General features: G+C 38.3%; 1 protein-coding gene across 6 annotated transcripts in view, besides 2 other annotated features; it reads left to right on the top strand.

Moving 5' to 3' along the window:
- The window catches only part of SUCLG2 (succinate-CoA ligase GDP-forming subunit beta), a 294,153-nt gene that overhangs the window by 76,195 nt on the left and 190,389 nt on the right, over positions 1 to 27,569 (top strand). The window lies entirely within an intron of this gene.
- Positions 18,935 to 19,294: an enhancer, noted in NCBI's record as "active region_20048". NCBI's record gives its function as "activates an Ori minimal core promoter by ATAC-STARR-seq in GM12878 lymphoblastoid cells {active_cell/tissue: GM12878}" and the evidence as "EXISTENCE:reporter gene assay evidence [ECO:0000049][PMID:35858748]".
- Positions 25,106 to 25,255: a silencer, noted in NCBI's record as "fragment chr3:67603587-67603736 (GRCh37/hg19 assembly coordinates)". NCBI's record gives its function as "represses an EF-1alpha promoter that drives an FKBP-Casp9 reporter gene in an ReSE screen in HepG2 liver carcinoma cells {active_cell/tissue: HepG2}" and the evidence as "EXISTENCE:reporter gene assay evidence [ECO:0000049][PMID:32094911]".

Genomic DNA, 27,569 nt, shown 5'->3' with positions numbered 1-27,569 from the left:
TGTCTAAGTACTTATTGGAAAATTAGTTCCAGCAGGCACCAGCTTACTCTTGATTAGTTGCCACTATTTCTTTACCTCTTGGATATAGAATAGGCTTTAAAATCATATATATGTATATATATGATTTTATATATATAAAATTTTATATATATAAAATTTTTTTATATATGATATATGTAAAATTTTTTATATATGAAATATATATAAAATATATAATACATATTACTCTGTGTTCCTTATATTATTGAGTTTATGCTATTTATTCATTGTGTAACTTATAAATCAATCATCTTAACCAAAAGTAGATGTGATTTTGAAGTGTTAGGAGTTAAAAATGTTGACCAAATCAGAGATAAAAGCCCAGAAAGAAAGGAAGATACAAAATAAACCCCTGGTCTTCCCCCCTTACTTCACCTGCTCTCACCAAGCACTCTGCAACTGATGATGCTTTTTGAAATTCAGATTTGACACCTTCTCTTCTTCCTATTGCTCTTAAGATCTTGAGAGGGTATCCTTCCTGATCTTGGCCTTTAGGTCTTTGGGCAAATGGAACTATAATTCCATTGTTCAGTAAAATTGAATGAGAAAGTGCATATAAAATATGTAGCATGATGGCTGGTAGTGTGGATGCCCCTTTACAGTAGGGGTGTACCTGGCTGCATACCACTTTCTGAGGCTCTGAAGAGTTCCTTGCCTTCTTTCTTGCCATTCCTGCCCTTATTTGAGGAAAAGGATCCAGGGAAGACAGAGGCTCTGGTAGAGATTCTTTTGGCTGCCAGATTTTTGCCCTGAGCAAAATGTGTTAGGTCTCCACAGGTTGAAATGCCACCAGATTTTAAGAACTCTATAATATGAAAAGTCTTTTATTTAGCATTTAGTAGCTGTGAAAATTTAATGTTTACATCAGCTCTCCTCCTGTGTCATTTCCATGTATGTCTTCTTTTACTTAGTGCAATTCGTTTTTTTTCTCTCTAGCTCATGATTCTACTTAAACTTATGAACCAAGCTCTGCTCTGAGTCCTAATTATTTTGTAGTAGAGAATATTCCTTAAAAGTCCTTTTATCTTATTTGTAACTTCAGTATAAGCACTTAACTTTTTTTTTTGTTTTTTGAGACAGTCTGTCTCTGTCACCAAGGCTGAAGTGCAGTGGCAGGATCTCAGCTCACTGCAACCTCCAACTCCTGGGTTCAAGCTTTTCTCCTGCCTCAGCCTCCCGACTGGGAGTACTGGCATGTGCCACCATGCTTGTCTAATTTTTTTGTACTTTTTAGTAGAGATGAGATTTTGCCATGTTGGCCAGTGATCTGCTCACCTCAGCCTCCCAAAATGCTGGGATTACAGGTGTGAGCCACTGCACCTGGCCAGCACTTCACTTTTGAGTGTCCTAGTTGGACTTAATTCTTTCCTTAGACCATCTACCTGGGTCGATCAATCAGTAGAGTTCTTTAAACTCAGGTGGTTAATCCATTTTGGGCTTTTTGTAAAAAAAAATAAAATAAAAATTAAATGACTGATATTGACAAGTGAAGTTTATTTGAAGCATTTGGTTATCAATTCTTAGTGAGGATTAGAAGTGTTCAAGCTCTGAATCAGGTGAACCTGTAGTATTTTCTGTCTTCTCAACTTACATGCTTTTCGCCTCCAACCCAGTTTGAGATATTTTTATTTAGTTGGCAGAGTGAGAGTAACTCTCAACTGAAATTCACAAAAATCAACAGTTGGGAAAAATGTGGCACTCAGTAAGTTTCTTCGAGAAGGTTTCTATTTCCTTAAGATGATCTCCATCTTACATAGCAGAGCAGTTGTCTCAAGCGGAGGGTGTTCTTGACATTTCCCTAAACTGTTGCAGCTCTTCAAGATTGCTCTGGAAATTTAAATATATTTATCTCAATTCATCTATTTTCTATTTAAAGAGGAGAATGTTTCAACACACTTGTGAATGGGAAATACTTCTGAAAACTCTGTTCAATTCTGAATCAAGAAAATTTCCTAAGTCTACCTTTTTTTTTTCCTGTTAAAACTTGGACCAATTGTTTACTGGCCCACATGAAATACTTCTGTGATTTGCTTTATACAAATCCTACCATGGCATACTGTGTCTCTCTCTTCAGAGAGTCGCTAGGTTATAAAGGAACAATATCCCTGCAAACTCAATGAGCCTGTCTTTCAGACAAGTCTTGATCTGGGATTTCTTGAGAACTGTGTTGACCTGTGTTATCTGTTTGCTACTCTGTTGATTGGAGTATTTCTTAGTTATTATTCTCATGGCAATAGTCATGTCCACAGAAACTCTGCTGTGGAAATAGCAAGGAGACCCATCTTTTCCAATATATTCATTCAGCTGCAGTTACATGGAAATTCAAGATAAAAAGGACTCAGCTGTCAGTGAAAGAGGATTCCCAGTCAAGGCCCCTGCATGGAGGTACCTATATTTCACGTGACAAGAATGGCCTGATGATAAGTGCCTAGTTTCTCTGTTTCAGTCCTTTAGGAATCCAGAGAACAGCTGCCCCTAGAATCCACTAGAATTCCACTAGATTCATGTTATATCACCCATTTTCTTCAAATCTGTCTAAATGAGATGGACTTTTTTTATTCTTAGGTTCAGTAGCAATAGCATAATTGTAATAATTTCCCAAGAACACATGCTTCCTACCAGGATAATTCTCATAGGTGTCCTTGTTGGCTAGCTTTCTTTTTTAATAAGTTATTCTTAAAACAACTTTATAGAAATGCAGTTTATGTATCATTAATTTACCCATTTCAAGTGTATAATTCAGTGATTTTTAGTAACTTCATTGAGTTCCACAACCATCACCATAAATTACTTTTGGAACATTTTCACCCTCCCATAAGATCCCTAATGCCTGTTTGATGTTAATTGCCATTCTCACCCCCAGCCCCAGGCAACCCCTCATTCACTTTCAGTCTCTAAGTTTGCCTTTTCTGGACATTGCATATAAATGGAATCATATGATATGTGGCTCTTTGTATCTGGCTTCATAGCATACTGTTTTTGAGGTTCTTCTATGACTTGGCATATATCAAGAGTTATTTCTTTTGTAATGCTGAATAGTATTTTATTATGTGGATAATCTGTTCACCAGTTGGTGGACATTTAGATTGTTTGCACTTTGAGGCTATTATTAATAATACTGCTGTGAATATTCATGTAAGTCTTTGTGAACAAATGTTTTCATTTCTCTTGAATAGATACCTAGGATTGGAATTATTGGATGATATTAGCTCTATGGTTAACTTTTTGAGAAACTGCCAAACTTTTTCCAAAGTAGCTACACCATTTTACAGTCCCCTTATCAATGCATGAAAGTTTCTATTTCTTTATATCCTCACTAACTTTTGTTGTTTTCTGTCTCTTTAATTTTAACTACTGTAGTAGGTAGAGAGTGATATTTCACTGTGGTTTTAATTTATCTTTTCTAACTGACTAATGCAGTTGAATATCTTTTCATGAACTTACTGACCATTCATCTAAATTCTTTGGTAAATTATCTGGCCATATAGTTTGCCCATTTTTTGATTGAGGTTTGTCTTATTGAATTGTAGGAGTTATTCATAAATTCTGGAGAAAAGTCCTTTATTAGATATGTATTTTGCAAATACTTTTTCCCAGTGTGTTGCTTGTCATTTCATGTTTCTAGTAGTGCCATTTGAAGTCTATAAGTTGAATTTTAACAAAGTCCAACTTACTAATTTTTTTCTGTTTTGGAGAATGCTTTTGATGTTGTATCTAAATTTTTTTTTACCTGAGTCACATCTCGAAGATTTTTCTACTGTATGTTCTTGTAAAAGTTTATTATTTTAGCTTTTACATTTAAGTCTGTGAATCTATTTGGAGTCATTTTTGTGCATGGTATGCGGTGAGAGTCTAAGTTAAAATTGTGCTATTGTCTCTACCATTTTTTGAACAGAGGATACATTCCCCAATAATTGCCTTGGCACCTTTGCCAAAAATCAATTGACTATAAATGTAAGAATTTATTTCTGGCCTCTCGATTCTGTTCCATTGATTTATGTATCTATCTTTATACCATGTGGTCATTAGAAAAGTAGTTCCCCAAAGACGTCCATGTCGTAAGCCCTGGAACCTGTGAATATGTTATTTATGTGGCAGAAGGGACTTTGTAGATGTCTTAACAAGTATAAACGTTTAGATGAGAGATTATCCTGGATTACTAGGGGGACCCAATCTAATCACAAGTCCTTAAAGGCAGAAAACCTTTCCATTTTAGGTCAGAGATGAGAGATGAAAGGAGGAGGAGGTATTTGAGCATGACAGGGGCTTGACCTGTGGTTACTGGCTTTGAAAATGGTGGAAGGGGGCCACTAGCCAAGGAATGTATGTGTCCTCCAGTAGCTGAGAACTGTCAGCAAGGAAACAGGGATCTTAGTACTACAAGCCCAGGAACTGAATTCTGTTAATCACCTGAATGAGCAATGACACAGATGCTACATAGTGCCTCCAGGAAAAAATGTAGCCCTGCTGTTGTTGCAGGACTTTTCCTTAGTTCAGCTAAAGATGGGGCTCTTTGTCCCACAGCCACAAAAATTCAGGCTCGCAGACAATTTGAATGGTGAGTAAGACAGGGTTTTATTGGGTGAAAAAGAAAAAAAAAGGGGGAAACAAGGATTCTCACCAGGCCAAGTCCCTGATAGAGCGCTTCCCACCAGGCCGTTTGAATCCCAGGTTTCACACAGGAAAAGGAGGGGCCAGGCTGCTTTCTGCTGGAAAGATCCTGAACTTCTCGAGGCTGTACCCCAGTGGGCAGACTGGGTGGAGTTTCTCCAGGGACCCCCTCCCATGTGGCTGTCTCACTAATACCTTGATTTTAGCCTGGTGAGACCAGTGTTGAGTTTCTGACCTACAGAATTGTAAGATAATACATTGTGTTAAGCTACTAAATTTGTGGTAATTTCTAATGGAAGCAATCAAATGTAATATATGTCAGAAACATGGTGACGTGATTACTGTTAACTTTATTAGAAAGTTTGAAATTTGAAAGTGAAAATTTTTCAATATTCTTTTCCTTTTCAAATTCGTTTTGGCAATTCTAGGTGTTTTGCATTTCTGTATACATTTTAGGATCTGCTTGTCAATTTCTGAAAGTAAACCTGCTGGTGTTTTGATTAGAGTTCATGTTGATCCTGTACATCAATTGTGGGAGTATGGCCATCTTCACAATATTGAATCTTCCAGTCTGTGAACATGGAATAGCTCTCCATTTATTTAGATCTTTATTTCAGCAATATTTTGTGGTTTTCAAGCGTATGTCTTTCATTTCTTTTGTTAAATTTATTTCTAAGTATTTTATTTTTGATGCTACTGTGAATGGCATTACTTTAATAATTTCATTTTTAGATTATTCATTGCTTGTATGTTGAAATACAATTGATCTTTGTATCTTTTATTTTGTATCCTGTGACCTTCCTTTTCTTGTTTATTCATGCAAATTGTGTTTAAAATTGATTCCTTAACATTTTCTCTATACAGAACTATGTCTTCTGTGAATAGGCCATGTTATGTCTTTTTGTTTTTTTCCAGTGTGAATGCCTTTTTTTTTCCTTCCTTGCCTGCTTGCAGTGGCTCAACCTCTACTACCATGTTGAGTAGAATCGGTAAGAGGCGACTTCCTTACCTTGCCTTCTATCTTAGGGGAGTAGCATTAATTCTCTCCCAGTAAGTATGATATTTGTCATATTCCTGGCTGTTTTAACCTGTAGTCTGTGGTGTGGTGTTGCAAAATGCAGAGTAGCTTCCTGCTAGTAAGAATCTAACCTGTTCTTACTGCTCTGGGTTAAATCATTCATTAACACTGAGAGAGTACATTTTTTTACTGTGCAGGGTATAGCTGCAAGCCAAGTTCTTTTGTTGAACAATTGTGTCCTGCATATATGTTTGTAAGAACACTGATATTTTAATGTTGTTGAAGCTCAAGCAGAAATTAGTAGTACTGCTATTTATAGGCTAAAGAACTATTTAATTATTCATTTATTCCTTCTTGTATTTGTTCCTCCACTTGGTCTTGTATTTTTTCATCCATTTGGCCATCTGTATCTCTTTTCTTACATTTATCCAAGAATGATGAATTAACATATACAGTGTGCTAGGTGTTGTGATAGGTTGGGGATCTGAGGGAAAAGTTACTCCTGTTTCTTGGGGAATTCACTTTAGATGTAGGATTGTAGGAGACACAGACACAAAGGGAATAAATTAAACCTTTTTAGTTCTCAGATATAATATGCATAGATAGGCATTTGACCTGAATAATGTCTGATGTGGGGCAATTTGTAATTTCCTGGAAGATGATCATAAAGGAAGGAGCTGCCTACCTGGCAGTTGCATTTCACAGGTGGTTGTATTAGGTGGACTACAATCTCCTTTCTGGATTGCTTGATTGTTTCCTTTGTCATTGCCTCTTATGGTAACTCTCATATGTGATATAAACTTTGTTTCTCTGAAGAAAATGGACACACAAGGAAGCCACCCATAAGTGGTGATAATGGAAGGAAAGAGCAACATGTGGTCTTGGTAAGAGAAGACAAATTTTGCATAGAAAGAAACATTTAATTTGTTAGTAGCCCACATTTATGAGATCCAGGAGTCCTACATCTGTTCTAAACCAAAGAAAAAGTGATTTGTGACCTTTTACCAGTAATCTAGTCAGTGCAAATATTTTTTATAAAATGTTTTACATTGTACAAGGAAAATTAAATGATATAGGGTGAACATTTAGCCAGTGTTTACTGTGGTCTAAATAGTTTGCTAACTTGTTCTAATATATGGTCTTATTTCTTCTGTAAATAATTCTGTGGAATACATGCTATTTTAGTTTCATTTACAAATGAGATAGTTGAGGGCCAAGGGTTTGGATATTTGCCTGACATTAAACAGAAGTGTTTTATGTGGAATTGGCATTTGGACACTGGCCCTTAGAATTCAGGGTGCTATTGTCTCACTACTCCAAGAGTTGTTGTCTCAGACCTGGGGTTCATCCGGTAAATGTCAACAGTCTAATGCAGGGTTTCTTAAACCTGATGATGTAGACATTTTAGGTCAGATAATTCTTTGCTGTGAGGGCTGTCCTGTGCATTGTAGGATGGTTAGCAGCATCCCTGGCCTCCATCCCCTAGGGTGGAGGTGGAGTACTAGGTGCCAGTAGCATCCCCCAGTTGTAACCACCAGAACTGTGTCCAGACATTGCCAAATGTTCTCTTCTGTGGGGGGCAAAATTTCCTCAGGTTTAGAATCACTGTAATTACCAGGTAAATTAGGATTACATCCTGTGGTATACTGAGAAGGAAGGAAATTATGATTAACTCTGTTTAGGGTAGATACAAGAAATGTTGCTGAGATAGTGACATCTGAGGTTTCATCCCTACATGGAATTATCCAAACTGCAAAATTAGAGGGCCCAGTCTCCAAGACTGTCTTTACTTTTCACACTGACTGCAAGTGTGAGGTTTCCCCAAAACACCCTCAGTTTCAACAGTTTGCTAAAAGGACCCACAAAACTCACTGAGTGCTCATGATTACTATTACATTACAGGGAAAAGATATGAAATCAGATCAGTCAAAGAAAGAGGAGACAACTAAGTTGGAGTTTAGGAGGATTCTGTACACCAGGTTTCTGTGTCCTCTCCATATGGAGTCAGGATGCATTACCCTCCTGTCGTTAATGTGTAACTGTATGTACAGAGTATTGCCAGCCAGGGAAGCTCACCCGAGCCTCAGTGTCCAGAGTTTTTATTGAGAGCTTCACTATATAGGCATGATCAATTGCCTGATTGCCCATGTGGTTGATTTCAGCCTCTGTGTTCCCCACTGTAAAACACATGATTGATCTTTCTGTCATGCCCAGCCCCTAACCTAAGACTATTGGCTGTAGCTGGCCCCACCTTAATTGTTCTTTCCCAAGACTAACATATTCCCATAGGGATGACATGGGTTGCCTCCTAGAAGTTGAGGACAAAAGCCAGACCACCCTTTGGGCAAGGCCAGATTTTCTACTACACAGTCCCTGACAAAAGGAACAAATGTGCATTTGTAGATGAAGTAGTGTGGTACGTTGCCACAGGACTGGCAATTCAGGGAGAATGTAAATGGCAGGCATATTAGTCAGCTAGGGCTGCCATAACAAAATGCTACCCACTGGGTGGTTTAAATAACAGAAGTTTATTTTTCATAGTTCTGAAAGCTAGAAGTCCAAGATCAAGGTATTGATTCCATTCTGAGGCCTTTCTTCTTGACTTGCAGATGATTACCTCCTTGCTGTGTCCTCTTACGGCCTTTCTTCTGGGCACTCCTGTCCCTGATGTCTCTCCCACTTCTTATAAGGACATCATCATCGTATTGGATTAGGTCCCTTCCTAATGGCTTTATTTTAAATTAATCTCCTCTTTAAAGACCCTGTCTCTAAATATGGTTACACTCTGAGGTACTGGGGGTTGAGAATTCAATACGTGAATTTAGGGAGGTTTACAAACAGCCCATAGCATTCTGCCTTCTGCATGCCCCCTCCCATCCCTGATTTGTTTCCTCTTGCATGTAAAATACATTCACCCTATCCCAACAGCCCCCAAAATCTTAACCCATCTAGCATCAGCTCTAAGTTGAAAATCTCATCTAAATCAGCCATGGATGAGACTCTAGGTGTGATACATCTTGAAGCAGAATTCTTCTCAAGCTGTGAATTTGTGAAACCAGACAAGTTATCTGCTTCCCAAATAGGCGAACAGGCATACAATAAACATTCTAGTCCTAAAGGGACAAATTAGAAGGAAGAAAGGAATCCTGGGGCCCAAGCAAGTCCAAAACCTAGCAGGACAAAGTCCATTGTATTTTAAGGCTTGAGAATAATTCTCTTTGTTTCCATGATGCTCTGCCTCTGGGCCCACTGAGGCCAAAGTCCAGCCTTCTGGGTCCACTTGGGCAGCAGCCATGCCCCGGTGGCTCTGAGTGATAGCCCCGCCCCTAAGAGTCCAGGTGAGAGTAAATATGATCAGATCTGTGTATAAGAAAAAGAAATATTGAATCCTACTTGATCAATCTTCATTTGCTTGGAGGTTACAGTCTACTTGGGGAGACAGGCATCTGGGCAAATAGTTGTAACAAACTAAGAAATAGTAAACTCTATGAGTGCTAGAAAGATTATGTCCTAAGAATTTAGCATTTTTAATCTGGAATATCCTCAGGGATATTTTGAGATTTTTGTTGGCCATGTATCTTGCAGGAAATTACTGAGTTAATGAATCATGAAATGAGAGAATTAATGCATTAGCTTTGGTAAGCTTGATAATTTCAGGATTCCAGTTAGGATAGGGGTGGGGATCATAACTGAAAAGCTCAACGGTACAATCATCGTTCCTAAATATGTTTCTAATACAGTTTCAACTATAACAATCTTAACTCTGACTTAGGAATTGAAAACTGAAAAAGTGGAAACTCCATATAGCTCTAAATTTGTTCTTAGAGCTTTCACTCTTTATTTTATTTTATTTTATTTTTTTTGAGACGGAGTCTCGCTCTGTCGCCCAGGCTGGAGTGCAGTGGCGCGATCTCGGCTCACTGCAAGCTCCGCCTCCCGGGTTCACGCCATTCTCCTGCCTCAGCCTCCCCAGTAGCTGGGACTACAGGCGCCCGCTACCACGCCCGGCTAATTTTTTGTATTTTTAGTAGAGATGGGGCTTCACCGTGTTAGCCAGGATGGTCTCGATCTCCTGACCTCGTGATCCGCCCGCCTCGGCCTCCCAAAGTGCTGGGATTACAGGCGTGAGCCACCGCGCCCGGCTCACTCTTTATTTTTTAAAAGCTTGCTGCTCTAGGAAGAATGAGGGAAGGTAATTTTAATGATTTGAAGTTTGTGTTCAGAAAATACTTATGCTTTCTTTTAAAAAGATGCCACTTAAGTTTTCTTTAAGACCAGGATGGAAAACATTCATTTTCTCACGTTTTCTCTCTCATTTATCTCTTTCTGTGTTGCTGTGGAATCTCAGACTTACATAGGATCAAAGAATCATATTACTTTTTAGTCTTTTATTTATTTTTATCCCTTCCTTACTTTGCTACTTTAAAATCTATTCGATGCTTTCCCTTCAGTGTTGTAGCCAGCTGGGTGTCTCCACTTGGCCCAAAACCATGCCCCTCAGTCTGTTTCATTTGATGGATCATTTTGGATTCTCCTTATTCTCTTGTCTTTTGTGTCACATGAATACCCTTTTCTTCAGTACATTTAAGCCCAACGATGAATGTTTCTTAAATTGTAACCAGTTCAGTGACTCTAATACCACAGTTCTTTTGCTGTCCTGGTCTCTCTCACACACACAACAGAAGTCACTGAAGACTGGTCACCACGATGCCCTTGTTCTTACATTTTGGTGGAATTTAATTTGTGCAGCCATTCTTAAGAGAGCTGATCAGTGCGTATCTTTTTCTTTTGCTGAGGCGGCTAACAGCGTTGTCATCATCATCTTTTCTCCCTCTCTGTCTGTTTTTAGAGTCAAGTACAATTGAATTAACTTTGTAAAATGATAGCTTCAGAAAACATTTTCACAAGAATAAAAAGACAGATTTTCTTTGTATATAAATAAAGAAGACAGTTTATGCTGGGAAATGAATCTTTTAATAAAACATTGTCCCTCTTCCACTTTGGCTCAACTGGGGAAAAATCAATTTTAGGGTCTTCGAATGTGAAAAAAGAACAAAAGGAAATGAAGTTTTTCTGTATAAGTGGGAATAAAGAAGGACTTGAATATAGTGGTTGCCAAAAAAGTTTTCAGATTACCATTTTCCTTTAGTCTTTAAATTCCTGACATAGGAGGCTGGGCAAGGTAGCTTATGCCTATAATCCCAGCACTTTGGGAAACTGAGGTGGCAGGATCGCTTGAGGCCAGGAGTTTGAGACCAGCCTGGACAAAACGTTAAAACGAAAAAAACTAGCCAGGTGTGGTGGTGTGCACCTGTAGCCCCAGCTACTAGGGAGGCTGAGACAGGAGGACTGATTGAGTCCAGGAGTTTGAGGCTGCAGTGAGCCATGATTACATCACTGTACTCTATCCTGGGTGACAGAGCCATACCCTGTCACTTAAAAAAAAAAAAAATCCTGATATAGGAAGTATAGTTCTGCCATATTAAAATGCAGCATTACTTTATATTTAAAAGTATTTTTAAGTTTCCATTGATATTTTTCCTCCTCCCACCTTTTTTTTTTCTTTTGAGACAGGCTCTTACTCTGTCACCCAGGTTGAGTGCAGTGGCGCGATCTTGGCGCACTACAACTTCTGCCTCCCAGGCTCAAGCAATCCTCCCAGCTTAGCCTTCCGAGTAGCTGGGACCACAGGCACACACCACCATGGGCAGCTAATTTTTTTGTGTTTTGGTAGGGATGGGTTTTGCCATGTTGCCAGGCTAGTCTTGAATTCCTGAGCTCAAGTGATGCACCTGCCTTGGCCTCCCAAAGTGCTGGGATTACAGGCGTGTGCCACCATGCCCAGTCTTTCTTGCCTTTTAAAGGAGGTTAGACATACTGCAATTATGAGGCATAAAAACATAGGATGGAAGGAATCTATAATTATAAAGGAAACTATTAATCTTTAATGTCCTAGGTAATTGTATCTTTTAAATTTCTTAAAAGTGTAATTTATTCACCACAGAGAGAAACATAGTGGTTCATCTTTACTTCTGGTATATGCGTTTTTCATGAATAAGATATAATTTAAAATTGTAAGAAAAGTGAATCATTGGAAGATAGTAGAGGAATTGTTACTTTGCAAAATCCACCATAAAGCCGGTTAAGAAATTATGTTTTTTACTTTAGAAGAAAAGCATGCATTATTTTCAGAATTTTTATAAATAATACATGATCATAGTTGAAAAAGTTGAAACTCCTTTAAGTTATTTTTCTGTGTGGAGATACATATGTATATGTGACTATTTTCATATAGATTTATTTCACAAAATTTTGATTATACTTTATACAGTTGTATTCAGCTTTTTTTAACATTAACATGGTATATGAGATTTTTTCCATATTTTAAAATATCCCCCCCAAATGTAATTCTAATGATTATACTAAAGTCTCTCATTTGATGAATTAAAACGTACTTAACCATTTTCTTCCTGTAAAGTTTTTAGGATGATTTTACCACTGCAAATTTGCAACCTGAGAAGTAAAAATATAACTTTGTGAGGTCAAAGACAGACTAGAATGTTCACCGTATTCGGAAAATCAGTAAGATCACAGAAAGGCTCATCAGCTGCCTGATGCTTGAGTAGCTCACTCAAGTGCTTGTCGTTGAATGCAAAATCTTGTCTTAAGTGGACAGGTGTGTGAATCCTTCCACCGCTATACTCTCCTTGCCTGATTGAGTCAAGGTTGTTACTGTGGTCCCTGGAACAGAGTGTGCCTCAGTAAATCAAATATAACAAAAGGAAGGAATGATTTTCAGATAGGATAGACAGCTAAGATGAACAAGACTTTTAGAACATTTCCAATTTGAGCAGTGAATCTGCCTTGTGGAAGCTCAAAATGTACTTTAAGTGACAGCTGCCGTGTAGTGTTCAATTCACCCTTTTTCACCAATGCATTTAGTAGACCATTGTGGAGAGGCTCCAAGGTGCTAGGCGCTAGTGAGAGTGCTAGGGATACGTTGTGAATGAGACATTGTTCCTGCACCTGAGGAGCTCACAGGTTATGGAGGATGACAAATTACTCTTGTACAATATGATAAACATCACAGTGGAAATTTGGATAAATTATTGTGGCAACCAGAGAGTTTACAAACTTTAGCTAGAGAGTCAGAAATGCTTCTCAGGGGCAGTGGCATATCTCATGCTGTTGGCAATGAAGGGTATTTGTTTATATGCCAATGTTACACAGTTTGTACTTAAGCCAGTGGCCAATGAAATAGGTTAGTTTTTAATTTTTTAAAAGTATGGCATATTTGTATTTTAATAGCTAATATTGGGTTATACAGTTGGGGTAAGACTGAAATAATAAAATAACTACTTTTCACATAGATATTTCCAAGGCACCCTGTAGTGCTACAGTACATTGATTTAAAAGAAGACTATATTGTATTTAGTAGAGTTTTTATTACTAACTCTATATAAATCAGGAACTATATAGAGTATATGTGACTAAATCAAATAGTTTATGAAATTATTTGTGTGGAATGACCTTTCTCCCCTAGACATAATCCTAGTGAAATCAAGGAACCTGTTTTATTTGCTTCCTTATACTCAGCACCTAGTGCAGTGACCAGCACGTAGCACATATTTAATGTGTTTCCCTGTCAAAATACTATTTAAGTTAAGACTTGATTGAGTCTGTTAGGTACCAGAGTCACTCACTCATTACTTTAATTTCAAATGCTACAGTTTGAAAACTTAATGTATGCTTGGTTGTTAAAAAAAAAAAAGCAGTGGGAAGAATAGAAGTTGTGTTAGAATACAAGGTACATTTTATTTTCACCAGAAAGGAAAAATATTGTTCTAAGATTATAAATAGCACGAAAGGCTTATTTTAATTATTTTAAAAATATGATACCTTTCCACTGCAGTACCTGGATTTCAAGCTCTGACTCAGGGGTGTCCAGTCTTTTGGCTTCCTTGGGCCATAGTGGAAGAAGAATTGTCTTGGGCCACATATAAAACACACTAACAATAGATAGCTCATGAACTAAAAAGAAAAAAGTGCAAAAAAATCTCATAATGTTTTAAGAAAGTTTTCAAATTTGTATTGGGCCACATTTAAAGCTGTCCTGAGCTGCATGTGGCCTGTGGGCCACAGATTGGACAAGCTTGCTAACTGTTTTGTATAGAATCTGAAACACAGATGATTAAGACAGGGATGCATAGTACCTGCAGGAGAGGATTTTATTTAGTAACTCATGTCCATTTTGGTGAATGTAGAGTTTATACCTGTGGCGTTTTGTTTCTAACTAGTTTCACTAATACAGTTTGCCATGCTGACATATTTCCTTCTCTGTTTTGGTAGATTACTTTGCAGGTTGCTGAAAGTCTAAGTCAAGGTAAAGTGTGAGGTAAAGATCAGAGTGAGTACTATTAATAGCGAGGGGAGGGGGGAAAGCTAGTGAGCCCTGTAGATCAGCTCAACAAAGTGTATATGCTGGAATCCAGTACTTTGGAGATAATCTTCCAAGTGGAATGCAGTCCAAAAAATGGACACTATTACTTCCTGTGCTGGCAGCCGCTCTGTTTACAGAAGGAAAGAGTATGTTCGATTGGTCAAATTACATTGCTGTTGCAGATACACTTGATTTTTCTAGTAGGAAAAATTATAATATTCTTAATGTTTTTCTCTTTTTATCCCTCTCCCTCTATTCTTTCACAGATATCACTTAATTGGCAAAAGAGAGCTTCAGGGACAACTAGTACTTCTTTTCTTTTTCTTTTTTCTTTTTTTTTTTTTTTTTTTGAGACAGAGTCTCACTCTGTTGTCCAGGCTGGAGTGCAGCAGCGAGATCTCCGCTCACTGCAAGCTCGCCTCTCGGGTTCACGCCATTCTCCTGCCTCAGCCTCCTGAGTAGCTGGGACTACGGGCACCTGCCATCACTCCCAGCTAATTTTTTTTGTATTTTTAGTAAAGACGGGGTTTCACCGTGTTAACCAGGATGGTCTCGATCTCCTGACCTTGTGATCTGCCCGCCTTGGCCTCCCAAAGTGCTGGGATTACAGACATGAGCCACCGCGCCCGGCCAACTAGTAGTACTTCTTTTCTAGCATATGCTAAAGTTCAGTTGCAGGCTCCTTAAGAAGTTAAGTGAGCCCCATTCAGCCTAAAAGGGAGCATATTGTACATTGTGTTCTGTACTTTGCCATTTTTTCACTGAACAATATTTTAGAGGTCAGTGTATAGGGAACAGCTTCATTCTTTTCAAACGCTTCATGGTGTTCTAGTTTATGGACGTATCATATTTACTTACACATCCTCACTGTCTCATTTTTCTCACTATTCCTGTTAAAGGCTAAATGTGTTATTCTGAGCTAGTTGAGGACTTGAAACTTAGGGAATGAGGAACAATAGAGCATTTTACACATGACGGGCCTTGTTCAAAGTCAGAACAAGAGGCTTGGAACTCCTTAAGAGACCATACTGTTTTTCACTGTTCACAGCAGTTAGAATCCCAAAACTAATTTTCTAATATAGCGATTTCTGGCTCTGGTTTTGGGAGTACCCAAGGTATTTTCCAGTCAGATTCTGTGGTATTGGGACATTTTCAGAGAATACATTAAAAAATGTATGTATTATATATTATGTATATATGTATTATATATTAAAATTATAAATAAACTATAATAGAAATAATTAAAATAATAAATAGAATGTAAATCGTACACATTATAATTCCTAAGCTATATCAAACATATAATTACTTTATTAATTTAATCATTAAAATGAAAAATGTGTAAATTATATAGTTTTCCATTTTAGAAATTACGGTATTAAAAGATATAGATAATTTTTTATATGTGTACATACATACACAGTTCACTAAGGTTTGCAAGACTTTTTAGCCTTAATAAGGATAATACTAATAGCAGTAATAGTAGGGACTACCACCTACTGAGCATTTAACTATGTGCCAGATGTTGTATTGAGGCAATTTATAAAAATCAAGTCATTTAAATTCTTCAGTGTCATTATGAGGTGACCAGAGTGGTTGTCTTCTTACAGACAAGGAAATTAGTGTTGAAAAAGTGTATGCAACTTGCCATACACTTGACCATTAACCATCGTGCTGCATCTTTATTACATAAAATTGGGGGAATGTTTTGCCAAATAAAATCTAAATTGGAGGCCGGGCGCAGTGGCTCACGCCTGTGATCCCAGCACTTTGGGAGGCTGCGGCAGGTGGATCATTTGAGGCCAGGAGTTCGAGACCAGCCTGGCCAACATGGCGAAACCCTGTCTCTACTAAAAATACAAAATTTAGCTGGGCATGGTGGCCTGTGCCTGTAATCCCAGCTACTTGGGAAGCTGAGGCAGGAGAATCACTTGAACCTGGGAAGTGGAGGTTGCAATGAGCCGAGATGGCACTGCTGCACTCCAGCCTTGGTGACAGAGCAAGACTCTGTCTCAAAAAAAAAAACAAACAAAAAAACTGAATTGGAGAACTTGGGCTTTTAGGGTATATTTAAAGTGCAAACATGAAGGAATGCCACTATGACTGAAGATTACACAAGGAAGAGTTTACAGTGAGAATGTTTGTGCTCTACTGGACTCTACCCTAAGGGAAGGGGGGATGAATGGTCAATTGATGTCTTTAAGTATTTACAGTAGTCGTTCATCCTCTCACTGACCTGTTCCCATTTCCCCCATCAAAAATGCAGAAGGGAGTAGGGGCAGGGGTGTAGGAAGAGGGGCCAAAACCTTGCTGGAAACCAAAGGCTTCATGGATAAGTGACTGATAAGTAGAGGAGGAACCTTTTCAAATGATGTATTGAGCTTTTAAAACCCTACAGTGTAATAGCAAACTAGCAATACACAAGATTTATTTGTAAGAACTCTGCATGTAAGTGTGTGTCATGTGTGCATTTGTCTGCCTTTTGAACTGGTATGTACAGGAATAAAGAATCCTAGGATACTCATGATAATGACAGCTATTTAATTTCCTTTGAATTTTGATTATGCACCACTGAAAAGTGAAACTGCAAGAATTTCTTTAGTCATTTTTATGGAAGGGATGGGAATAGAGTAGGGGGGCAAAAAGAAAGACAAACCAAGAGGGAATGGTTGATTGAATGTTGAAGGGGGACTTGTTTGGCCTAACATATTTTTCTAAATATTTATTTTTGCTGGAATATGAAGATACACTTAATCTTCCAGCTCATTTTTTGTTGGAACGGTTATTTAGCAAAGCAAGTAGGGGGCTGCTGTTGCTAAGCTTTTTGTTATTATTTTGCCACACAAGAGGATATTTTTTAAATAGTTGTTGGGAACTTTAAGACTTGCTGAGCAGGAAATGCCACATGTAAGGATGTCTTAATGTTGGCAGTGTTTTTAATGCAAGAAAGCAAAAGATGTTAAAGACCCACTTCATTTTCTTGGTGCTCATCTGTGTCCACCAGCATGAGAGTAAATAAATGTGGTATTTAATGTTCATTAACCCTTTACTACAAAAAGATAATAGGCACAGTGCTTGCTACAGTAGTTCTGACCAGTGCAGTTTGTAGGAGTCACTAAAACAAGGTGCAAGCAGCCCCTGGGAATAAGATAAAGCTAATATAATACTAAATGACTGAGAGGATTGTGTTGTTCTTACCTTAAGGAAGAAAATGTTAGCCATCAAAGAGGATTTTTTTGTGTTCTTTTAGCATCTTGTGGAGTCAGAAGCCTAGCATTCTAGATGAGCAAAGTACACAATTGCGTTAGTATTAACTTGCTGAGTTTGTGTTTGTTATGCTGGTTTTATATTCATTTTGTGAGTGTGGGTGAGGAGGGAAGGAAAAAAATGGAGTTGGGAGGGGAGCTTATCTGTTTTAATTGATCACTGACACCTAAGGCATCTCAAGGCTAGGCAGAAACTTCCACGTCTTGCTGTTTCCTAACCTGAAGGAGGGGGAGAGTTTGTGGTTCCAGGGATATGAAAAGGAAGACCTGGTGTGATGTTCTGTGTGTGAAGGAGTTACTTGGAGGAGGCACTAGAAAAGCAGATGAGGTTCTCCCACACTCCCAAAGGCTGAGTTTACTCCTGGGGTTGGGGGCATAGTGAAGAGAACCATTTAGGTATCCTACACTTACCTAGACACCAAGACTTGTACATTGTACCTCACCGGCTTTGTGTATTAATAATTGAACCCCCACCACAATGCTGTGAGGAGGCTTTACTTACCTTCCTGGTTGAGAGAGGACATCTAGCTTAGAGACATCTCTTGCATAGCTAGTGGTTGGCAGACTCAGGGCTTGAACCCAGATCTCACGTTCTTTACCTAACATGGCTATATTTATTTCCTAGGGCTGCCATAGCAAAGTAGCACAAACTGGGTGACCTGAACAACAGAAATTGATTGTTTCATGGTTCTGGAGGTTAGAAGTCCCTGCTCAAGGTGGTGGCAGGGTTGGCCCTTCTGAGGCTGTGAAGCAGAGTCTCCCAAATTTCTCATTTTTTAAAAGATACTATTGTATTGGATTATGGCCTACCCTAATGATGCCATTTTAGCTAACTGCATCTTCAACAACTCAATCTCCAAATAAGATCACATTCTCAGTTTCTGGGGATTAGGACTTCAACAACTGAATTTTCAGAGGTCCTGAGACACAGTTCAACTCCTAACATGGACTTAGAGTTTTTCTTCCTTGTAGCCATTATATAGATATATTTTAAAGATTTAATTTTTTAGAGAAGTTTTAGGTTCATAACAAAATTGAGAGGAAGGTACAGAGTTCCCATATACCCCTCCCCCGACAACTGCACAGCCTCCCCCAATACCAACATCCCCCACCAGCATGGTACATTCATTACGATTGATGAACCTACATTGACACATCATCAGGCCAAGTTCATAATTTACATTAGGGTTTACTCTTGGTGTTGTACATTCTATGGGTTTGGACAAATGTCTAATTATATATATTTGTCCTTATAGCATTATACAGAGTAGTTTTATTGCCCTGAAAATTCTCTGTGAAAAATTCTCTGCCATTATAATTTTTATTGGTAAAAATTTTGATGTCAGTTTCACAAAGTTTCACCTCTGATAATTTTATTTTTTTCTTTACAGTAAACATATAGATGGTAGTCTGGCTCTGTCCTCACCAATATTTCATCTTGCATTGAAATCCGAATTGGAGTCCCCTCCCTGTATGGAGGGAGGAATTTGGTGGGAGGTGATTGGATCATGGCGGTGGTTTCCCCTATGCTGTTCTCATGATGGTGAGTGAGTTCTCACAAGATCTGATGGTTTTAAAGTGTGGCACTTCCTTGTGCTATCTCTCTCTCCTGCTACCTTGTGAAGAAGGTATTTGCTTCTCCTTCACCTTCTGCCATGATTGTAAGTTTCCTGAGACCTCCCCAGCCATGCGGAACAGTGAGTCAGTTAAACCTCTTTCCTTTATAAATTACCCAGTCTCAGGTAGTATATTTATAGCATTGTGAAAACAGACTAATACAGGTAGTTTTCTTACTCGTTCATACTACAATCGAAAAAGACCTCTGACCTCTTACTCTACCTTCTCATGGTTCCTTCTGCCACCCTTGTGCACGTATGTTAGCTGTAGAAGGGATTTGTCATAAAATAAAAAATAATGAGATTTAGTCATGTTTTCAGCAACGTAGTTAAGGTATTCTTTAGAGTAAATCTATTAATACATTGTGATATTATTTGCTCCCACATAAAAACTTGATAGTTTTAAGAGTTGAAACCTATATGAAAGACTAATAAAATCAAGGATTTTTATTTTTTGTCACACTGCTTATCTTGAATAGGGTCTTGATATGTTTCATTTTTTATTTTTTAACCTCCCAGCTGATGATTTTAATAAAATAGGGCCCTTGGGAATTAACAAAATTATACCATATGGTAAGGGTAAAAGGATCATTGATCTGGTTAACAAACCAGCCTGAGTTTCCAGGGGAGCGACCCTTTCTCCAGCCCTCCTCAGCCTTGGACAGTTACATTATTGCTTAACAATCATCATCTGCTTTTAGTGGAACTGCTTATTTTTCTCCTTGGCTTGGGCAGATTGCCCCAGTGTTTCAGATACTGCCTTTTGGAAACGGATCAGTAGGAAATTTCTATTACCGGAAATCATCTGTTTCTGAAGGAGACAAACTATTCTTTTCAACTCAACTCACTCTTGTGAAACAGAAAGCCCAGCACTTTCTCACAGCTGCTCTAAGACAGTCCAGCAGGGTAAGAACAGTGAGGAATCAAATGTACTACAAGCCAGGTGGGACCATAGTCCACCACGGCCAAGCAAGAAACTGGAATATCCATGCCACAAATGTGGAAAGTGGGGCATCTTCTTTCTAGAGAGCTACCGAGGCTGTTCAAATTTCAATTTTCTCTGTGGCATGTAAACCGTATTTTTTTTTTTTTTTTTGGTGTCAAAGAATAGAAAATTAGTTTTAATTGTTTCTTATGAGGCACCATATGGCTACTCTATAATTTTGGCTTTCCATGGAGCTGCATGTGCATATGGAAAATGAAATTAATTGGAAATCACACCCTGAAATCTATTATTAAGTTAATATAGCTAACAGCTTGTGGGGTGTCCTCACACTCAGCATGATGTAATTGCACATAATAATAAGTAACTATAAACTCATATAGGAGACAAGCCGGAATAAACAGAGGTCAAAGGGACAGGCTTTGGAAGGGAAGAGCATTAATAATGGATGGTGCAGCAAACGTTTCAGTTCCTCACCATTCACAAACCCAGGGTAGAGGGAAGCAGTTTAATCATATTCAAATGAATTAATCAGCAGTCTTGTGAATTTCACAGCCAAGGGACTGATTGTTATTTTGCAAACTAGTGTTCTGCAAGCCTAAGGTCACTCTTGGTAGAATCAGTGACAGTGATTTTTCAGGGGTGCCCAAACTTGCCTGTGCATCAAAACCCTCTGTGGAACTCTTAGAAACACTGAACTCTGAATCTAATTCCTGGGATTTTGATTCATTTGCTTTGGATTTCTCAATTATTAAGATGCACTACAAGTGATTCTGATGCCGCTCAGCCATGGACCATGGAAACCACTGATTTCAGTGATATATCATACAGCTCTATATATTTAAATGATAAAGACTACAGCTAGTTTGTGTTCAGTTTCCCTAATGTGGTTCCTAACCTTATAACAGAATAAAGTAAGTTCAAATAAAAACATGAGGTCTGCAACTTCATTTGGTAAGCCCAGAAATAGTGAACAAATAATTTGATGTCATCTGTGCTTTTTATGAAATTTGTTAGTTTATGGGTCTGTCTCCTTGGGCTCAGTGAGGGCACTGGCTGTTTTATTCACCTTGGTGGTCAGGACGTGGTAGGAATTCAATAAATGTTTATGGAATATAAATTTGAATATGAAAAGGAGCAAAAAGGTTATTCTCTTCATTAGAAACATCAGAACGATCTCTGTTCATCTCAAATTGATGCTAAGAGCCATGTTACGTCTATGTAATATGTGATATTAGTATTTCTTAAAATGTCACCTGAGTATTGTAGAGGTAGAGTTGCATGCATTTGATACTAGGAAGGAGATTCTTCCTATCCTTTATTCCTCTTCCAGTGAGGGAGAAGTCTGCAAACATTAAGTTATACTTAAAAGAAACATGTCTAGAATTCTAGTTGGGAGATTCATTGACCAGACTTTTGGAATAAACACTAGTCATCATGCTAGCGACAGGTGGTCTTGTGCATGGTAGAAAGGCAGTCCAAGCCTATGTCTCTGAAACCTGCTCTCATTTCTGTTTTCTACTTTACGATTTATGTTATCTCATACTCCCCATGTTGCCTGTTCTCCAGTTTTTTTACTTGTGTTATTTCCATTCTTCTATTCCTGCTCAATTTCTGCCTCAGGGCAGAATTGTGTCCAACAGCTCTTAAATGCAGCGCAGAAACTGTGATGTTAAAAACATCTTGTTATCCGGCCCCAAAACATGTTGTCCTTGGTAACTCTTACTGGTTTGTACATAAAGCAGGTTGGGATCTCATTGATGGGCTAGTGGGAAGGAGATAATGGTGTTATAGCAAAAAACTGCAGCAGAGACAATGGGAAGAAGGTCTGTGACTTTAGAGCTGAACAAAGCCAAGAAATATATGCAGATACAGTAGGATGTTTTGTGGCTTGACCAGCAGACACCACTAGCTGTCTCTCAGGGCTCCCGCTCTTCCTGAATAATAGAGCCTTGATATTTTAAAAATTTAATTCTCTATTTTGAAATAAATTCAAGCTTAGGGAAAAATTCCAAGTACAATATAGACATCTCCCATATCATTTTCATCCTGATTCCTCAACCGTTAGCATTTGAGAGGAAGCTACAAACGTGATACTGCATTTCTGCTAAACATTGTGGGTATGTATTTCCTAAATAGTGAAAACACTCTCCTACACCATCAGCATTCAGCCCTCCAAGTCAGGAAACAGTGTTGATGCACTGCTGCCCCCCAGGACACAAAGCCCACTGAAAGGTCACCAGCTATCCCAGTGGCGATTGTCCTTCTTTTCTGACCCAGGATTTCAGTCAGGAACACATGTCACATTTAGTTATCATGTCTATTGGATCTCTTCTACTCTGGAACATTTCTTTGATCTTTCCCTGTCTTTCTAGTCTTTGATAGTTTTAAAAAAAAGTCAGGTCTTTTTCTGTTTAGAACGTCTCTCAACCTGGATCCATCCAGTGTCTCCACATGGCCAGAATCAGGTCCCCCACTCGGGGAAAATGCCATAGAAATGATAGTCAAGTGTTTATATATGTCCCATCAGAAGGCACATGGCCTGTCCCACTCTGTTCACATTGGTACATGCCAGGTTTCTCCACCTTAGATTTGACATTTTTCCTTTGTAAGTGATTTGAATTTTGTGGGGAGATGTTCTGAGATTATGCCAATATCATGGTCCTTGTCTACCTTCCACCCACCAGTCTTGGCTTTCATGGGGTTGTCAATTGGTATTCTCATTTCCATCATTTGCTGGTTGGTATTTTAGTATAAGGAAGAGCCTGTTCTTCTACCTTATTTATATCATCAAAGACTTACGAATTCTTGTTTTATTCAGTGGATTGTCTTTCATTTCTAAGCCTTTTTGACATGGCTTCATCATTTCTTTAACCACTTCCTTACTTTATGGCACAAGATATCTCAATGTCAACTTATCCCTTTTTTGTCCCAGCCCTGGTATCAGCCATTTCTCTAAGAAACCCTGGTTGTTTTTGGGAAAGATTGTATTTAGAAACTAAGATCTGGGCACTTGTTTGTGATCATTACTGTTGAGGCATTACTGCTTTTAGGCCATCTCAGGAGGTAGTATGTGTGTATAGACATACACAAACACACATATATGTATATGTAAGTATACACACAAATATATATGAGTATAAAATATACACATTCATTTTACCCTCCCTATGTACATTTACATACATAAACATGCATCTGCAACCATTTATTTGTCTACCTGTGTTACCAAAAATATTGGGTTTATATTGATACTTCCAATTTCATTCCTAAATCTCAGGGTTCTTTCTAGCCTCCTACCTTTCCATATTTGGAAGTTCCTCCAACAGCAAGAAACTTGCTCTCATCCTCTATATATTATTTCCTTAATTTACTGTTATTAATCAGTGTGATCAGTTTCCCAGCTGTTCTGTCTCTTCTGCCCACAACCCCCGTGCTCTCCAACATCTTCAGTTTTGGGGTGCTGTCAGATATGCTACTACCGTGTCTTTGTGAGGAAGCTCCCCAACATCCCTCAGTGCCTGGGTACTTGATCTCCAGTATGCATGCTGCCAGTATCTTCACAACACTTCTTCTACCCCTCAGCACTTGTCCTCACGTACTAGGGGACCTGTCACTTTTTCACTGAATATATGGCTACCTGGAATAAATTATTTCCCAACCTCCCTTGTAACTAGTTGTGGGCGTGTGATTTTATTATGGCTACTGGTAGCCAGTATGACCATGAAGTGGAAGCCATATGTTGACGAACTGTGATCATTATGAAATTGCAACTCCAGCCCTATAACTCACCTTGGGACTTCATGTGAGAGAAACAGAAACTTCTCTCTCTTATGTAAAGTTTTCAACGTATTATTTTAATTTTTTGGTCCCTTAACAGCCAAACCGAATTATAACTAATATTGCCCCTTCTAGACAAGAAGGAAATGAAAATAATTCTGAATTCAGTCAGGCAGTAAAGAAATTCATAAAGGAGTGTAGCACCAAATTTATTGAGGTTACAGTGAGGGGTTTGAATTTAAATCTCCCTAAATCAAGTGACACAATTTATAGAAGTTTGTAAGAATTACAGCTGAGTGTAAAGAATTCTATTGCATGACATCAAGGTTCTCAGGCAATTAGAAAGCAACTGAAATTCCTAACAACAACAACAACACTCCAACAAAACAACATTCACATGGTTAAGTAAATGTAATAGCTTTAGCCTTACAGAGGGTAGCTGACTTCTCTCTGCCAAAATCAGACAGAATTTGGTAAAAACATGTAGTAGCACATCCTGAGGGAACCCCGGGATGCCATCTTTGAGATCACTCTGTATGGGGCTTCCCATTTGTCTTGGCAACTGGTAAAGATAGCTCCAACCTGGCTATCAAGAGCATGCAAAAAATCACACCTACCCCGACCGAGAGGGCTACCCCAGCTCCTTAGAGTTGTGACCTTGTCTATGACATGGGATTCAAAAGTATTTAGTTACTGGTTATGTTACTTTTAACCCAAGGAAGGTTTAGAATTTAGTAAACATGATAAAATTTCTGAAACCCATGATAATTAATGCTTATCAATTATTAGTAATCTGCGTACATTTTTTAGTTGATGTGTTTCTACTGTTTAAGATAACTCGGAATATTAAAGTAACTGACAAAGTAGATATTGATTCTACTTTCTATGTTTAGTTGAGTAGTTACCATTACTCTTGTAATTTTTATGTTGAAAGATAAAGTTTTTGACAAAGATTATAAACAATATTGCAATGCTTTTAAAGTATATGGAATCTTTTATTTTAATTTGTTAGGGAGTTACTGGTGCAATTTAATACTTAGTAGATTTTGCTTTCCAGGTCAGAAATTGAAGTACTTTAAGAAAAGAAAATGGGTATAATGAGTTTGTAAATGCAGTTTAAAATGTTTAAGAAAAATTAAAAATTAAATTAAATTTGTAAATGATACTGATTACTTAAGGGAGTTTAGTGTATCTAACTTGAATTATTTAAGTCCAAAAGCCCCCTTGAAAGTGAATTACATTTTAAACTTATAATTTTCAGCTTATAAGTAGAATGATAAGATTTGCAAGTTGAACTCAAAGGCTACAAAAAAGATGAAGTTTTAAACATTTGTCACTTTATTAAAGCAAATATTTAACTGAAGACCACAAGTGGACCCTTTGTGGCAAAGCCACCATGGACAAAGGGAACAATTCCCTGCTGCAGTGGCCATGATGGAAGATCTGTGGTGGACAAGAGTGCTGTCTTCACAGGGGCTGGATGCCACATTGGATGCCAAAGCTAATTTCTAGTGTCATTGTCTGGGCTAAGATGGCAAGATTAGGGATTGTCAGCCTTCAGTACCTGATCTCGATGCCCTGGGCAGCAAGATAACATTCATATCCACTTCTTGGTTGGGATGGGAGATGTCATAGAAAAAGCATGGGCTGTCTTACTGTCTGTTGAATTCTGGTGTTTTTAACAATTAATTGATGACAATAATTTCTAAATTATGTGATTAGTGGGTGGATTAGAAGTAATACACATACAAAGCATTCAGTATATTTCTTATCACCTAACAGGTGTTCAGACAACAGTTGCATTTTTTAAAGAAAGATGATGAGACTGCTGAAATAGCTTACAAATGATTTGGGGCCAAATCAGATAATTTAAGGTATAAAACACACAGTAGTTTACATTTATCAGTCACTTGAAATGTTGCCAGACATTGTGCAAAGTCTTTACATAGATTGCATCCTTGAATTCTCCCAATAAACCATGAGATATTTATTGTTATACTCTGTTTTGCAGATGAAGAAACTGAGGTTTATGGAGGTTAAGTGACTTATCCAGTTTTACACAGCTAAGTAGAAAGAGTTGAACTGGAATGGCAATCCACAAAATCTAATGCTAGACTACTGAACTCAAATCCACGTTCTCGTATTCCTATGTTATAGACATCCATGTCTGCAGTAACAGTGTTGCAGAGAAGTTAAGACCAGCCAGTATTGCCTTTACTTTGCAGAATTGCTCTCTGACTTTTGTACCTCATCAATTCAGACTACTGTCTTTTTTTACATGCATAATAAAAGTACTACATGAATACACCAATAGAGTGGGCCTTGTTTTATTATAATTTGGTATATTAAGTCACAAAAATGTTTGGTTAAATAGACAGTAAAAGGAATTGTCCTTGAAGCCATTAATACATGTGAGATACGTGATGGGCACAGCCTTTCATATAGCTTGAAAGGAAAGGTTTTTGTTTTGCTATTATTGGGTCATTGTGTTTTCCCCATTTTTTCTTTTTTCTTTTTTTTTTTTTTTTTTTTGAGATGGAGTTTTGCTCTGTTGCCCAGGCTGGAGTGCAAGTGTTTTCTCCATTTTAATTGACAGTCAGTTTCCCCAGAAGCCATCATCAGGAGTTCTGGTCATATTTGATACTGGGTGGCGTGGCTTCTTGCTGACCACTGTCACATCATGTTCCCACCAACTTCTTATATTCACCTGAGCTTGAATAGGTGAGAGTTGTGGGTGGCCTCTTAGCACCATACTAAGGTGGTGTGGATAAGGTTTCAGCTCTGGCTGGATCTTGTGCTCTGGAGTTGACAGCTGTGTGATATTGGGCAAGTGACTTTATTTCTTAAGTTTCCTCATGTAGAGGACTGCTGTGAAGATAAACGAGGTGAGGTTTGTAATGTCCTTTGAATAGCTCCTGGTGCATAGCCAGTGGTGAGTATGTGGTCTCCTTAAGACACAGAACAACAGTCCCAACCATTATAGTAACAATAATGGCAACATCAGTAATGGCACTGAAGGACAGATAGCTGTGTATGCTCACTCTGCTCCACAAAACGCCAGCCAAGCTTCAGTGTCTGGTTGCTTCCCAGCTCATTTTCCCTCCCTCCCAGGCTGCCACAGGGCTGGATCAGTCCCTGCATCGATGTTGGGGGAGGGATGTGCTGTGCTGATATAAGCCTCAGCCTGCTAATGAGGCCCAAAGTTGAGCAGCTCCAGACGGAATCAAGTGTTGTGTTCTCTGCCAGAAAATGTGGTGGATTTCCAAGGCCACCAGCACTAGCGGCAGCCATGGATATCAAAAGGGAGACTATCGAAAAGCAAGACAAGACACAGGCCTTGGGTCAAAACAAACTATCAAAACATAAATAAAAACATGGTGTGCATTTGTAGCAGGCGAATCCTATCAAGGATCCAGAGGTACTCATTTTACACATAAAAGCATTAGTCCATCAGAAGGTGGCAGGGCAGTACTAAATGTCTTTAGAATTTGGGCAGCTTTTGAAGGCATCTAACCCTTTTTAACTTTGTACTGTCTCATCAACCATCTCATCAACCATGAGCACATTTTACTTATTTCTGAATACTTGCAAAAAATACAAGACGTGAGTGTTTTATATATTCTTAACACTTGGCAAAAGTCAGTAATAGATTACTTATTACAAAAATTATTTTGCCCAATAGGCAACATATTTATCATTATCATCTACCATTTACTTGATATGTATAAGTATAAGCCAGTATACACCAAGTATTGTGTTAAGTATTTTCCATGCATTTCTGCCGCCGCCCCTGCCCCCACCCCCCGTTTAATACTCATAGTAACTCTTAAACGTAAGCACTTTTATTATCAGCTTC

This window comes from Homo sapiens, chromosome 3 (genome assembly GCF_000001405.40).
Source record: "Homo sapiens chromosome 3, GRCh38.p14 Primary Assembly".
NCBI lineage: Eukaryota > Metazoa > Chordata > Mammalia > Primates > Hominidae > Homo > Homo sapiens.
Note: the sequence above shows the minus strand (reverse complement) of the source record. Positions and strands in the feature narration are given on the sequence as shown.